At 38.8% G+C, this 12,947-nt stretch overlaps 1 protein-coding gene across 2 annotated transcripts in view, besides 1 other annotated feature; it reads left to right on the forward strand.

Annotated features, from left to right (window-relative positions):
* GRIA3 (glutamate ionotropic receptor AMPA type subunit 3) overlaps positions 1-12,947 on the forward strand; it is a 306,638-nt gene that overhangs the window by 195,163 nt on the left and 98,528 nt on the right. The window lies entirely within an intron of this gene.
* Positions 12,149-12,649: an enhancer, noted in NCBI's record as "H3K4me1 hESC enhancer chrX:122525440-122525940 (GRCh37/hg19 assembly coordinates)". NCBI's record gives its function as "activates a minimal SCP1, AML or CMV promoter by ChIP-STARR-seq in naive and primed H9 embryonic stem cells {active_cell/tissue: H9 hESC(naive and primed)}" and the evidence as "EXISTENCE:reporter gene assay evidence [ECO:0000049][PMID:30033119]".

Genomic DNA, 12,947 nt, shown 5'->3' on the forward strand with positions numbered 1-12,947 from the left:
ATCTCTTGCTCTCTTCTCTCTTACCACTTTCTCCCCTTCTTTATTTCCTGTCTACTTGGTGTATGTTTGCTGGTCAGTTTTGTTGCATTAGTTATTGTATTAAATCTGTCGCTAAACTCAGGCCTCAATTCACAATTTTGCCAACTATGGTTGTACATGACAACAGCCTCTAGCAACTTGTTTTTTTTTTTTTTTTTTTGTAAAATTTATTTTTTTATTATACTTTAAGTTTTAGGGTACATGTGCACAATGTGCAGGTTTGTTACATATGTATACATGTGCCATGTTGGTGTGCTGCACCCATTAACTCGTCATTTAGCATTAGGTATATCTCCTACTGCTATCCCTCCCCCTCCCCCCACCCCACAACAGGCCCCGGTGTGTGATGTTCCCCTTCCTGTGTCCATGTGTTCTCATTGTTCAATTCCCACCTATGAGTGAGAATATGCGGTGTTTGGTTTTCTGTCTTTGTGATAGTTTGCTCAGAATGATGGTTTCCAGCTTCATCCATGTCCCTACAAAGGACATGAACTCATCCTTTTTTATGGCTGCATAGTATTCCATGGTGTATATGTGTCACATTTTCTTAATCCAGTCTATCACTGATGGACATTTGGGTTGGTTTCAAGTCTTTGCTATTGTGAATAGTGCCACAATAAACATATGTGTGCATGTGTCTTCATAGCAGCACGATTTATAATCGTTTGGGTATATACCCAGTAATGGGATGGCTGGGTCAAATGGTATTTCTAGTTCTAGATCCCTGAGGAATCGCCACACTGACTTCCACAATGGTTGAACTAGTTTACAGTCCCACCAACAGTGTAAAAGTGTTCCTATTTCTCCACATCCTCTCCAGCACCTGTTGTTTCCCGACTTTTTAATGATCACCATTCTAACTGGTGTGAGATGGTATCTCATTGTGGTTTTGATTTGCATTTCTCTGATGGCCAGTGATGATGAGCATTTTTTTCATGTGTCTTTTGGCTGCATAAATGTCTTCTTTTGAGAAGGGACTGTTCATATCCTTCGCCCACTTTTTGATGGGGTTGTTGGTTTTTTTCTTGTAAATTTGTTTAAGTTCTTTGTAGATTCTGGATATTAGCCCTTTGTCAGACGAGTAGATTGCAAAAATTTTCTCCCATTCTGTAGGTTGCCTGTTCACTCTGATGGTAGTTTCTTTTGCTGTGCAGAAGCTCTTTAGTTTAATTAGATCCCATTTGTCAATTTTGGCTTTCATTGCCATTGCTTTTGGTGTTTTAGACATGAAGTCCTTGCCCATGCCTATGTCCTGAATTGTATTGCCTAGGTTTTCTTCTAGGGTTTTTATGGTTTTAGGTCTAACATTTAAGTCTTTAATCCATCTTGAATTAATTTTCGTATAGGGTGTAAGGAAGGGATGCAGTTTCAGCTTTCTACATACGGCTGGCCAGTTTTCCCAGCACCATTTATTAAATAGGGAATCTTTCCCCATTTCTTGTTTTTGTCAGGTTTGTCAAAGATCAGATAGTTGTGGATATGTGGCATTATTTCTGAGGGGTAGCAACTTGTTTTAGAAGAAAAAAAGTTCCATGTTTTTAAAAAATGAAATAGATGTAAGAGGTTGAGAGAAGCCAGCAAAGTCTTCCTCCTTGGCCATCTCTTCTCTCTGAACTTCCATCCATCTATCTATATATTTTATTCTCATCTCTTTTATGTTAGTGTCTTTAGGGAGGTTTTAAGAAACTCAGCTTCAGTTTTATCTCCTTGAAAACTGTGATCCAACAGCCTAAGGAGAAAATCTAACAAGAGGTTATGGGGTCAGTAAAATGCCTTAAAACAATGACATTCTGTACTAGGAGAAGGAAGACAAGAAGCCAGCCAGCTCCTCTACCTTAGCCCACACATCTCTCCTAACCTCCATCTTCCTACCACTGACCCTTACCTTTTTATTTACTCCATTTTTATTTCTGGATATTATATCATCACCTGTGCTGTGTGAGTATCTTTACATTGGTTTGGGGGGACCATTGGCCTGCCTTAGGGTTATAAGTGTCATAACCATAAAAATTCATCAAAGATTATTATGGAAAGGAGTAATGTCTTAAAATGTTAGGATAAGAAGTGAAAGAGACCTAGAAGCCAAACAAATCCTGCCCTTGTACAGTACCTCTCTCCTAATTTCCATCATCCCTCTCTACCTTTTCTCCTTTCCCCTCTTACTGTTGAATATCAGCTCTGCTGTGTTAGTGTCTCTGAAGAGGCTGTGGAGAGAATCAGTCTTTAATTTTTGCAATATCATGGACTGTCAGTGGTCACTTAAAGAGTGGAATTTAGCAATAGTTGATACAAAAGGAAAAGTCTTTATAATAAAAAAGGTATCAGAAAAAGAAAGATGACGAAGAGTCAACAAACTCCTGTCTTTAGCTTGACAATTTTCCTTATATCCACCTGTCTATTACTCATTTCCCTTCTCTTTTCCTCTTCTACTTCTTTGATACTTATTAATCAGTTCTGCTGCATTAGTGTTTCTTCAGAAGGTTTAGGGAAAAATCCAGCCTTGATCATCTCAACCTTGAGGACTATTGGTTGCTCTATCTAAATGCTGGGAACCAGAGTGACAAACAAGTCATAGAATCTGAAGAAAGATAACAAGCAAAATGTACACAAATGGGACAGAGGGAGAAGTAGGACCAGGATCCAGTTAACTCTTGCCCTTTAGTAACAAGATCTTTCCTTTCATCTCCCTAAACACCTGTTACCTTCTTTCTTTTTTCACCTCACTTCTGCTCTCTTCACCTTGCCAAAGGGGCTGTTAGTGCTTTCTGTCCATATGGCCTGGTAAGCTGTAATGGCCCTCAGTAGGAGCTAGTGGTGTGGAGGTCTTGCCAGCTAAAAAAAAAGCAGGTTGTGATGACCTCCCCCTGGTTTAATCTGTGCTGCTGTGGACACATTTTATCCCATGAGCACAGCCAGGCTAATGCCAATTTGCAGTGTGCCAGAACTCATTCCCGGGATGTCTGTCAAAAAACATTAGTCGACTGAGAGACTTCTAGTTCCTCAGTGATATGGTTGAGGTTGGGTATAGAGATAAGTGCACTGTATTCCTATAAAGGTGTTTCCAAATCACAATGTGTTTATTGGAGATCAAGACACCCAGGTGGGAATTTGTGGGGTGTATGCGGCAGGATGAAGCTTCCTGGGAGCAAGGGGTGGTAATTTTTGAGGTGTATTTGAGGTGGACATCTCCTTTTAGTTTCTCTGCCAGAAAAAGGGTAATTAGGCAAATCTTCAAGAAAAGAGTGGTACAGTAGACAATAACCAGACTGAATTGCTGGCTCTTAGGCCTTAAGGCAGAAAGTGAGATTTGGGGGACCCTTTCTCCCTCGCTTTTGCTAATTCTACATTGCCATTTTAACATGCTATGAATATTAGGTAAACAGGAGTATGAAGCTTATCAAAGTGAGAGATACTGCTTTCTAGTGCATGCTGTGCCTATTGACCCTGAGGACTGTAATGGTGGCAGAAGCATTCACAACCCCTTTCTCTCAAGAAAGATGGCTCTACTTTTCCAGCCCAGGCTTTTAAGATACAGGCCAAGCACAAGAGATCCCATCCTTCACCCACAACAGCAGGTCAATGGGCAGTTGGTCAATTTTCTTATGTAATATTTGTTAACTGCCAAATGTGGTTAGGCATGGTAAATGAATTAAAGCTATTCATTAAAGATTTTAAATGATACATATTTGTACATATCTGTAGGGTATATGTGATATATTGTCACATGCATAGAATTGTAATGATCAAATCAGTGAATTTAGGATATCCAACACCTTGAGTATTTATCATTTCTGTGTGTTCGGAACATTTCAAGACCCCTCTTCTGGCTACCATGAAATACACAATACATTGTTGTTAACTATAATTACCCTACTCTGCTATTGAACAAGAGAACTTTTCCCTTCTATCTAACTGTATGTTTATACTCATTAACCAGCCTCTCTTCATCCTGCCCCCTCTCTCACCCTTCCCAGCCCCTACTAACTATCATTCTACTCTCTACTTCCGTGAGATCAAAATTTTTAGCTCCCAGATATGAGTGAAAATATACAATATTTGTCTTTCTGAGCATGGCTTATTTCACTTAACATAATGACCTCCAGTTCCATCCACGTTGCTGCAAATGACATGATTTCATTCTTGTTTATGGCCAAATAGTTGTCCATTGTGTGTATATACCACATTTTTTGAAGGCCATTAAACTTTTTAAGTTTTTTTTAATCTTTTTTTTCAACTTTTATTTTTGGTTCAAGGGTACATGTGCAGGTTTGTTATATAGGTAAACTTGTATCACAGGAGTTTGTTTTGTAAATTATTTTGTCACCCAGGTACTAAGCCTAGGACCCAATAGTTATTTTTTCTGATCCTCTCCCTCCTCTCAGCCTCCACCCTCCAATAGGCCCCAGTGTCTGTAGTTCTACTCTATGTGTCCTTGTGTTCTCATCATTTCTCTCCCACTTATAAGTGAAAACATGCAGTATTTGGTTTTCTGTTCCTGTGTTAGTTGGCTAAGGATAACGGCCTCCAGCTCCATCCATATTCCTGCAAAAGACATAATCTTCATGTTATCACTGCATAGTATTCCATGGTGTATATGTAGCACATTTTTTTTATCCAGTCTATCATTGATGGGCCTTTAGGTTGATTCCATGTCTTTGCTATTGTGTAGTGCTGCAATGAACATTCACGTGCATATGTGTTTATAATGCAACGATTTATATTCCTCTGGATATATACCCAGTAATTGGATTGCTGGGTCTAATGGTAGTTCTGTTTTTAAGTCTGAGAAATTTCCATACTGCTTTCCACAATGGTTGAACTAATTTACACTTCCACCAACAATGTATAAAGTGTTCCCTTTTCGGCCAGGCGTGGTGGCTAACGCCTGTATTCCCAGCACTTTGGGAGACCAAGGCGGGTGGATCACCTGAGGTCGGGAGTTCGAGACCAGCCTGGCCAACATGGTGAAACCCCGTCTCTACTAAAAATACAAAAATTAGCCGGGCGTGGTGACACACGCCTGTAATCCCAGCTACTTGGGTGGCTAAGGCAGGGGAATCACTTGAACCCGGGCAGCGGAGGTTGCAGTAAGCCGAGATCATGCCATTGCACTCCAGCCTGGGCAACAGAGTGAGACTCTGAAAAAAAAAAGTGTTCTCTTTTCTCTGCAATCTTGTCAGCATCTGTTATTTTTGACTTTTTAATAGCCATTCTGACTGGTGTGAGATGGTATCTCACTGTGGTTTTGATGCATTTCTCTAATGATCAGCAATGCTGAGCTTTTTTTCATGTGCTTGTTGGCCACACACTTGTTTTCTTTTGAAAGGTGTCTGTTCGTGTCCTTTGTCAATTTTTCAATGGGGTTGTTTGAGTTTTTTGTGTAAATTTGTTTTAATTGCATATAGATGCTGGATATTAGACCTTTGTCAGATGTATAGTTTGCAAATAGTTTCTCCCATTCTGTAGGTTGTCTGTTTACTCTGTTGATAGTTTCCTTTGCTGTGCAGAAGCTCTTTAGTTTAATTAGGTCCCATTTGTCAATTTTTGCTTTCGTTGGGATTGCTTTTGGCATCTTCCTCATGAAATCTTTGCCTTTTCCTATGTCCTAAATGGTATTACCTAGGTTGTCTTCCAGGGTTTTTATAGTTTTGGGTTTTACATTTAAGTCCTTAATCCATCTTGAGTTGATTTTTGTATATGGTGAAAGGAAGGGGTCCCATTTCAATCTTCTGCACATGGCTAGCCACTTCTCCTAGCACCACTTATTGAATAGGGTATCCTTTCACCATTGCTTGTTTTTGTCAGTTTTGCTGAAGATCAGATGGTTGTAGGTGTGCAACCTTATTTCTGGGTAACCTATTCTGCTCCATTAGTCTATGTACTAATATCATGCCGTTTTGGTTACGGTATCCCTGTAGTATAGTTTGAAGTTGAGTAGTGTGATACCTCCAGCTTTGTTCTTTTTGCTTAGGATTGCCTTGGCTATTTGGGCTCCTTTTTTGGTTCCATAGGAATTTTAAAATAATTTTTATCTAGTTCTGTGAAGAATGTCATTTGCAGTTTGATGGGAATAGCATTGAATCTATAAATTGCTTTGGGCATTATGGCCATTTTAATGATATAGATTCTTCCTAACCATGAGCATGGGATGTTTTTCCATTTGTTTGTGTCATCTCTGATTTCTTTGAGCAGTGTTTTGTAATTCTCATTGTACAGATCTTTCACCTTCCTGGTTGGCTGTATTCCTAGGTATTTTATTCTTTCTCTGCCTATTGTCAATGGGATTGCATTCCTGATTTGGTTCTTGGCTTGGCTGTTGTTGGTTATATATTTTCTTTATCCACTTGTTCATTGATGAACACACTTAGGTTGATTCCATATCTTTGTTATTGTTAATAGTGCTGCAATATACATAGGAGTGCAGGTATTCCTTAGATATACTGATTTCTTTTCCTGTGGATAAATACTCAGTAGTGGGATTGCTGGATCATATGGTAGTTCTATTTTTAGTTTTTTCATAAATCTTCACACTGTTTTCCATAGTGGCTATACTAATTTACATTCACAACAGTGTACATGAGTTCCCTTTTCTCCTCATCCTTGCCAGCATCTGGTTGTTGTTGTTTTTGTTTGTTTTTGTCTTTTTAATAGTAGCCATTCTAACCAAGGTAAGATTTTTTGTGTGGTTTTAATTTGTATTTCCCATTTGATTAGTGATGTTGAGCATTTTTTCATACACCTATTGGCAATCTGTATGTCTTATTTTAAGAAATTTCTATTCATGTTCTTTGCCCACTTTTTAACGGGATTATTTGTTTTTGTTTTTGTTTTTGTTTTTTATTGAGTTGTTTGAGTTCCTTGTATATTCTGGATATTAGTCCCTTGTTGGATGAATAGTTTACAAATATTTTCTGCCATTCAACAGGTTGTCTCTTCACTCTGTTGATTGTTTCCTTTACTGTGCAGAAGCTTTTTGGTTTAATATAGTCTCACTTGTCTGTTTTTGTTTTTGTTGCCTGTGCTTTTGAAGTCTTAGCCATAAAATCTTTGCCTACACTAATGTCCTGAAGTGCTTCCCCTATGTTTTCTTCTAGTAGGTTTATAGTTTCGAGTCTTATGTTTAGGTCTTCAATCCATCTGGAGTTCATTTTTGTATATGATGAAAAATAGGAGTCCAGTTTCATCCTTCCGAATATGGATATCTAATTTTCCCAGCACCATTTATTGAAGAGGGTGCCCTTTCCCCAGTGTATGTCCTTAGAAATTTTTTTGAAAATAAGTTGGCTGTAAATATGTGGATTTATTTCTGGGTTCACTATTCTGTCCCATTCATCTATGTGTCTGCCTTTATATGAATACTGTGTCATTTTGATTACTATAGCCTGGTGACACATCTTGAAGTCAGGTAGTATGATGCCTCCAGCTTTGTTCTTTTTGCTCAGGGTTGCTTTGGCTACTTGGACTCTTTATTCATTCCAAGTGAATTTTAGGATTTTTTTTTCTATTTTCTGTGAAATATGACATTGGTATTTTGACAGGAATTGCATGAAATCTGTAGATTGTTTTGAGTAGTATGGTCATTTTAACAATATTAATTCTTTCAATCCATGAGCGTGGGGTGTCTTTCCATTTGTGTCCTCTTCAATACCTTTCATCAGAGATTTCCTTGTAAAGGTCTTTCACCTCCTTGGTTAAGTTTATTCCTAGATATTTCAGTAGCTACTGTAAATGGGATTGCCTTCTTGATTTCTCTCTCAGCTAGATCAATATTGGTGCATAAAAACACTACTGATTTCTGTACGTTGATTTTATATCCTGCAATTTTACTGTATTTAATGATCAGATCTAAGAATTTCTTGGTGGAGTCTTTAGGTTTGTCTTGATATAAGCTCATGACATATGCAAAGAAGGACAATTTGACTTCCCCCTTTCCAGTATGGACCTTTCTTTTTCCTACTTGGTTGCTCTGGGTACGACTTCCAGTAATACATTGAATAGGAGTGATGAAAGTGTGCATCCTTGTCTTGTTCCATTTCTCAGAGGAAAGGTTTTCAGCATTTTCCCATTCAGTCTGATTTCAGCTGTGGGTTTGTCATACATAGCCTTCATTATGTCGAGGTACAATCCTTCTATGCCTAGTTTGTTGAGAGTTTTTATTATGAAGGGATGCTGACTTTTACCCAGTGATTTTTCTGCGTCTATTGAGATGATCATACAGATTTGGTGTTCATTCTGTTGATGCAATGTATTACATTTATTGATTTGCATATGTTGAACCATTCTTGCATCCCTGGGATAAATCCCACTTGATCATGGTGTATCTTTTGGATAGATTGTAGGATACAGATTGCTAGTATTTTGTTGAGGACTTTTGCATCTATGTTCATCATGGATATTTGCCTGTAGTTTTTTGTTGTTGTTGCATCCTTGTCTGGTTTTGCTGTCAGAGTAATGCTGGCATCATAGAATGAGTTAGGGAGAATTCCCTCCCCTTGATATTTTTGGAATAGTTTGAGGAGAATTGGTATTAGTTCTTCTTTGTGAGTTTGGTAGAATTCAGCAGTGAAGCATTCAGTCCTAGACTTTTATTTGTTGAAATACTTTTTATTACTGATTCAATCTCATTACTCATTATTGGTCTGTTTAGGTTTTCAATTTCTTCCTGATTAAATTTTGGTAGGTTGCATGCCTCCAGGAATTTATCCATTTTCTCAAGGTTTTCCAGTTTGTTATCATCCAGTTGTTCATAACAGTCTCTGATGATCTTTCATTTTTTTCTTTTTTGAGACAGGGCCTCACTCTGTCACCCAGGCTGGAGTACAGTGGTTCACTCTTGGCTCACTGCAACCTCTGTTTCCTGGGTTCAAGCAATTATCCTGCCTCAGCCTCCCGAGTAGATGGGATTATAGGTGTGTGCCACCACACCCAGCTAATTTTTGTATTTTCAATAGAGACAAGAGTTTCACCATGTTGCCCTGGCTGGTCTTGAACTCCTGACCTCAAATGGTCCACCCGCCTTGGCCTCCCAAAGTGTGGGATTACAGGAATGAGCCACCGTGCCAGGCCGATTTTTCATATTTCTGTGGTATCAATTGTAATGTCTCCTTTCTTATTTCTGATTTTATTTATTTAGATTTTCTCTCTTTTTTGGTTCATCTAGCTAGTGGTTTATTGATTTTATCTTTTGAAAAAATTTATTTTGTTGTTCTTTTGTGTTTTTCTTTAGTCTGTTTCATTTAGTTCTGCTCTGATCTTCATTATTGCTTTCCTTCTACTAATTTGGGCTTTGGTTTGCTCTTGCTTTTCTAGTTCTTTGAGGTGCATCATTAGATTGTTTATTTGACATCCTTCTACTTTTTTGATATTGGCAGTTATTTCTATAAACTTCCCTCTTAACATTGCTTTTTCTGTTTCCCACAGATTTTGGTATGTTTTGTTTCAATTTCATTTGTGTCAAGAATTTTTTAAATTTCCTCCTTAATTTCTTCTTTGACCCAATGGTCATTCGGGAGCATGTTGTTTAATTTCCAGGTATTTGTATAGTTTCCAAAGTTCCTCTTGTTATTGATTTCTAATTAAACTCCTTTGTGGCCTGAGAAGATATTTGATATGATTTTGATATTCTAAATTTTTTTGAGACTTGTTTTGTATCCTAATGTATAATCTATCCTGGAGAATGTTCCATGTGCTGATGAGAAGAATGTGTATTCTATAGCTGTTGGATGAAATGTTCTATAAATCTCTGTTATGTACATTTGGTCTCAAGTGAAGTTTAAATTCAGTGTTTCTTTGTTAATCTTCCCTCTAGATCATCTGTCTAATACTGACAGTAGGGTGTTCAAGTTCTCACCTATTTTCGTACTGGAGTCTATCTCTCTGTTTAGTTGTAATAGTATTTGTCTTGGTGCTTTGGTGTCAGAAGCATATATGTTTAGAATTGCTATATAGTACTATTAGATTAATCCCTTTATCATTATGTAATGACCTTCTTTGTCTCCTTTCACTGTTTTTGACTTAAGTCTGTTTTTTTCTGACATAAGTATAGCTACTCCTGCTTGCTTTAAATTTTTGTTTGCACAGAATGTCTTTTTCCATCCCTTTACTTTGACCCTATATGTACATTTACATCTGAGGTGAGTTTCTTGTAGGCAGCATATAGCTGGATCATTTTTTAAATCCATTCAGCCAGTCTATATTTTTCTTTTGTTTTTGTTGTTGTTGTTGTTGTTGTTGTTGTTGTTTTATTGAAACAAAGTCTCGCTCTGTTGCCCAGGCTGGAGTGCAGTAGTGCGAACTCAGCTCACTGCAAGCTCCACCTCCTGGGTTCGCCATTCTCCTGGCTCAGCCTCCCAAGTAGCTGGGACTACAGACACCCGCCACCACGCCCGGCTAATTTTTTTGTATTTTTAGTAGAGACGAAGTTTCACCATGTTAGCCAGGATGGTCTCGATCTCCTGACCTCGTGATCCTCCTGCCTTGGCCTCCCAAAGTGCTGGGATTACAGGCATGAGCCACCGCGCCTGGCCCAGTCTATATCTTTTAAGTAGAAAGTTTAATCTATTTATATTCAAAGTTATTATTAATATTTGAAGGCTCATTTCTGTCATTTTATTAATTGATTTCTGCTTATTTTGCATATACTTTGCTTCTTTCTTCCTCTCTTACTGCTTATCATTGTGGTTTGATGGTTTTCTGTAGTGGAAACATTTGAGTCCCTTCTCTTCCTCATTTGTGTGTTTGCTCTATCAGTGGGTTTTATACTTTCATGTATTTTCATTATGGTATATACTCTCCTTTTTCTTCCAGGTGTAAGACTCCCTTAAGCATTTTTTATATGGCTAGTCTAGCAGCTATTAATTATTTCAGCTTTTGTTATTTCTCCTTCATTTATGAAAGGCAACTTTCTTCAGTATAGTATCCTTGGTTGCCAGGTGTTTTTTTGTTTTGTTTTGTTTTGTTTTGTTTTTTCAGAACTTTGAGTTTAGCAGCCCATTCTCTCCTGGCCTATAACATTTCTGCTGAGAAATTCACTGTCAGTCTAATGGGAACTCCCATCAGACTAAGTGACTAGATGCTTTTCTCTTGCTATTTTTAGAATTATCTTTGACTTTTGACAGTTTGACTACAATGTGCCATGGAGAAGACCTTTATAAAGATTTAGGGATCTCTGAGCTTCCTGTATTTGTATGTCTAAATCTTTTGCTACATCTGGAAAGTTTTCAGCTATTATTTTGTTAAATAGGTTTTTTATCACTTTCATTTTCTCTTCACCTTCTGGGACACTAAAAATTCACATTATTGGATCACTTTACAGTGTCCTATATGTCATAGACTTTGTTTATTCTTTTTTAGTATTTTTTCATTTTTGTCTGACTGGGTTATTTCAATGACTTGTCTTCAACTTCTAAAATTATTTCTTCTGCTTGATCTAGTCTAGTGTTGAATCTTTCAAATGTATTTTATATTTCATTCAATGAATTATTCAGCTTTAGAATTTCTATGTGTTTTTCTTTTTATTTTAGCTATCTCTTTGGTAAATTTCTCACTCATATCCTGCATTGTTTTTCTGATTTATTTGTATTGTTGTTCTGATTTCTGTGTTCTCTTGTATCTCACTAAACTTCTTTAGTATCATTATTGTGAATTTTTCTGGGATTTCATAAATTTCTTTTTGATTGGGATCTATTGCTGGAGAAGTATTGTGTTCCTTTGGAGGCAATGTATTTTTTTTACTTTTTCGTACTTTTTGTGTCCTTGCATTGATATCTGCACATTTGATGTAACAGTTACTTCTTCTAATATTTTAAATTTGCTTTTGTAGGGGAGGACTTTTTCCTGAAGATTTACCTATGGTGTTGGTTGGGTAGGACACTTTGGCTTTGATTCTCGGTATGTGCAATAATATAGTCTCCATGATGATTTATCTGGCTGTAAACAGCATCAGTAGTATTTGTGATTTCCTTGGTGGTATAAGGTGCAGTTGTTGGTGGAGGCTGTGGTGAAGTTTTTCTGGGGATGGGGACATCAGATGGGCCAGTTCTTGGGCACCAGTGGTAGTAGCAACAGGTCAAACATACCTGTCCATGGGCCTCAGGGAAGTGTACATGGGCACCAGTGTTAGTGGGTCTAGTCAGGCTGATTCTTGGGCCCTCCAGGCAGCTTGCTCAGATGCCAGCAGCGGCAGTGGTGGGCCGGATGGGTGGGTGGGTCCTTGGAGCCCTAGCAATTGGGCATAGCATAGGCAATGGTTGTAGCAGAGGCAACACAATCCTCTGACTCCCAAGTGCTTTGTCCTGGTGATGATGGTGGCTGCAATAGGCTAGGCCAGCCATTCTTGAGGCCTGTAGGTAGCACATGCAGGTGAGTCCCAGCCATGGTGGTAGTGACAAGCTAAGTCAGCCTGTCCTCAGGTTCCCAGGAGGAGTGCTAAGTTCCAACGGTGGTGAATGGGGCAGAGCAATCTCCAGGCCCCTGGACAGTTTACTCAGGCACTGGGAATTGAGGGGAGTAGAGCCAGGCCATCTGGTGGTGCACGTGGGTGCTGGCTGTGGTAGGCAGGGGCGAGGTGATCCCTAGATCCCCAGTAGAATGCTCAGGTTGGGGCTGAAGTGGCTGTGCTGCAGCCCTACTGCTGGAGAAGGCATGGTTGCTTTCAGTGGCAGCAGCCATAAACAGGTAGCTTGGGAGCATGTGCTTTGGCCCTGATATAAGCAGGGGAGCCTTTCCTCAGGGCTCTTTTAAATATGTAGCAGCACTGCTACTAGGAGTGACAGGGTCACTGCCAATGACTCGTGTTTCGCCCTGGCAGCAGCAGCCAACAATAAAGCCCAGCCCTGCATTCAAGGTATTCAACCCCATTGATGGGGTTCCAAGGATGTGGAAATGCAGGGGCTGTTGGGCCCCTGGTC

This window comes from Homo sapiens, chromosome X (assembly GCF_000001405.40).
Source record: "Homo sapiens chromosome X, GRCh38.p14 Primary Assembly".
In the NCBI taxonomy this organism is placed as follows: domain Eukaryota; kingdom Metazoa; phylum Chordata; class Mammalia; order Primates; family Hominidae; genus Homo; species Homo sapiens.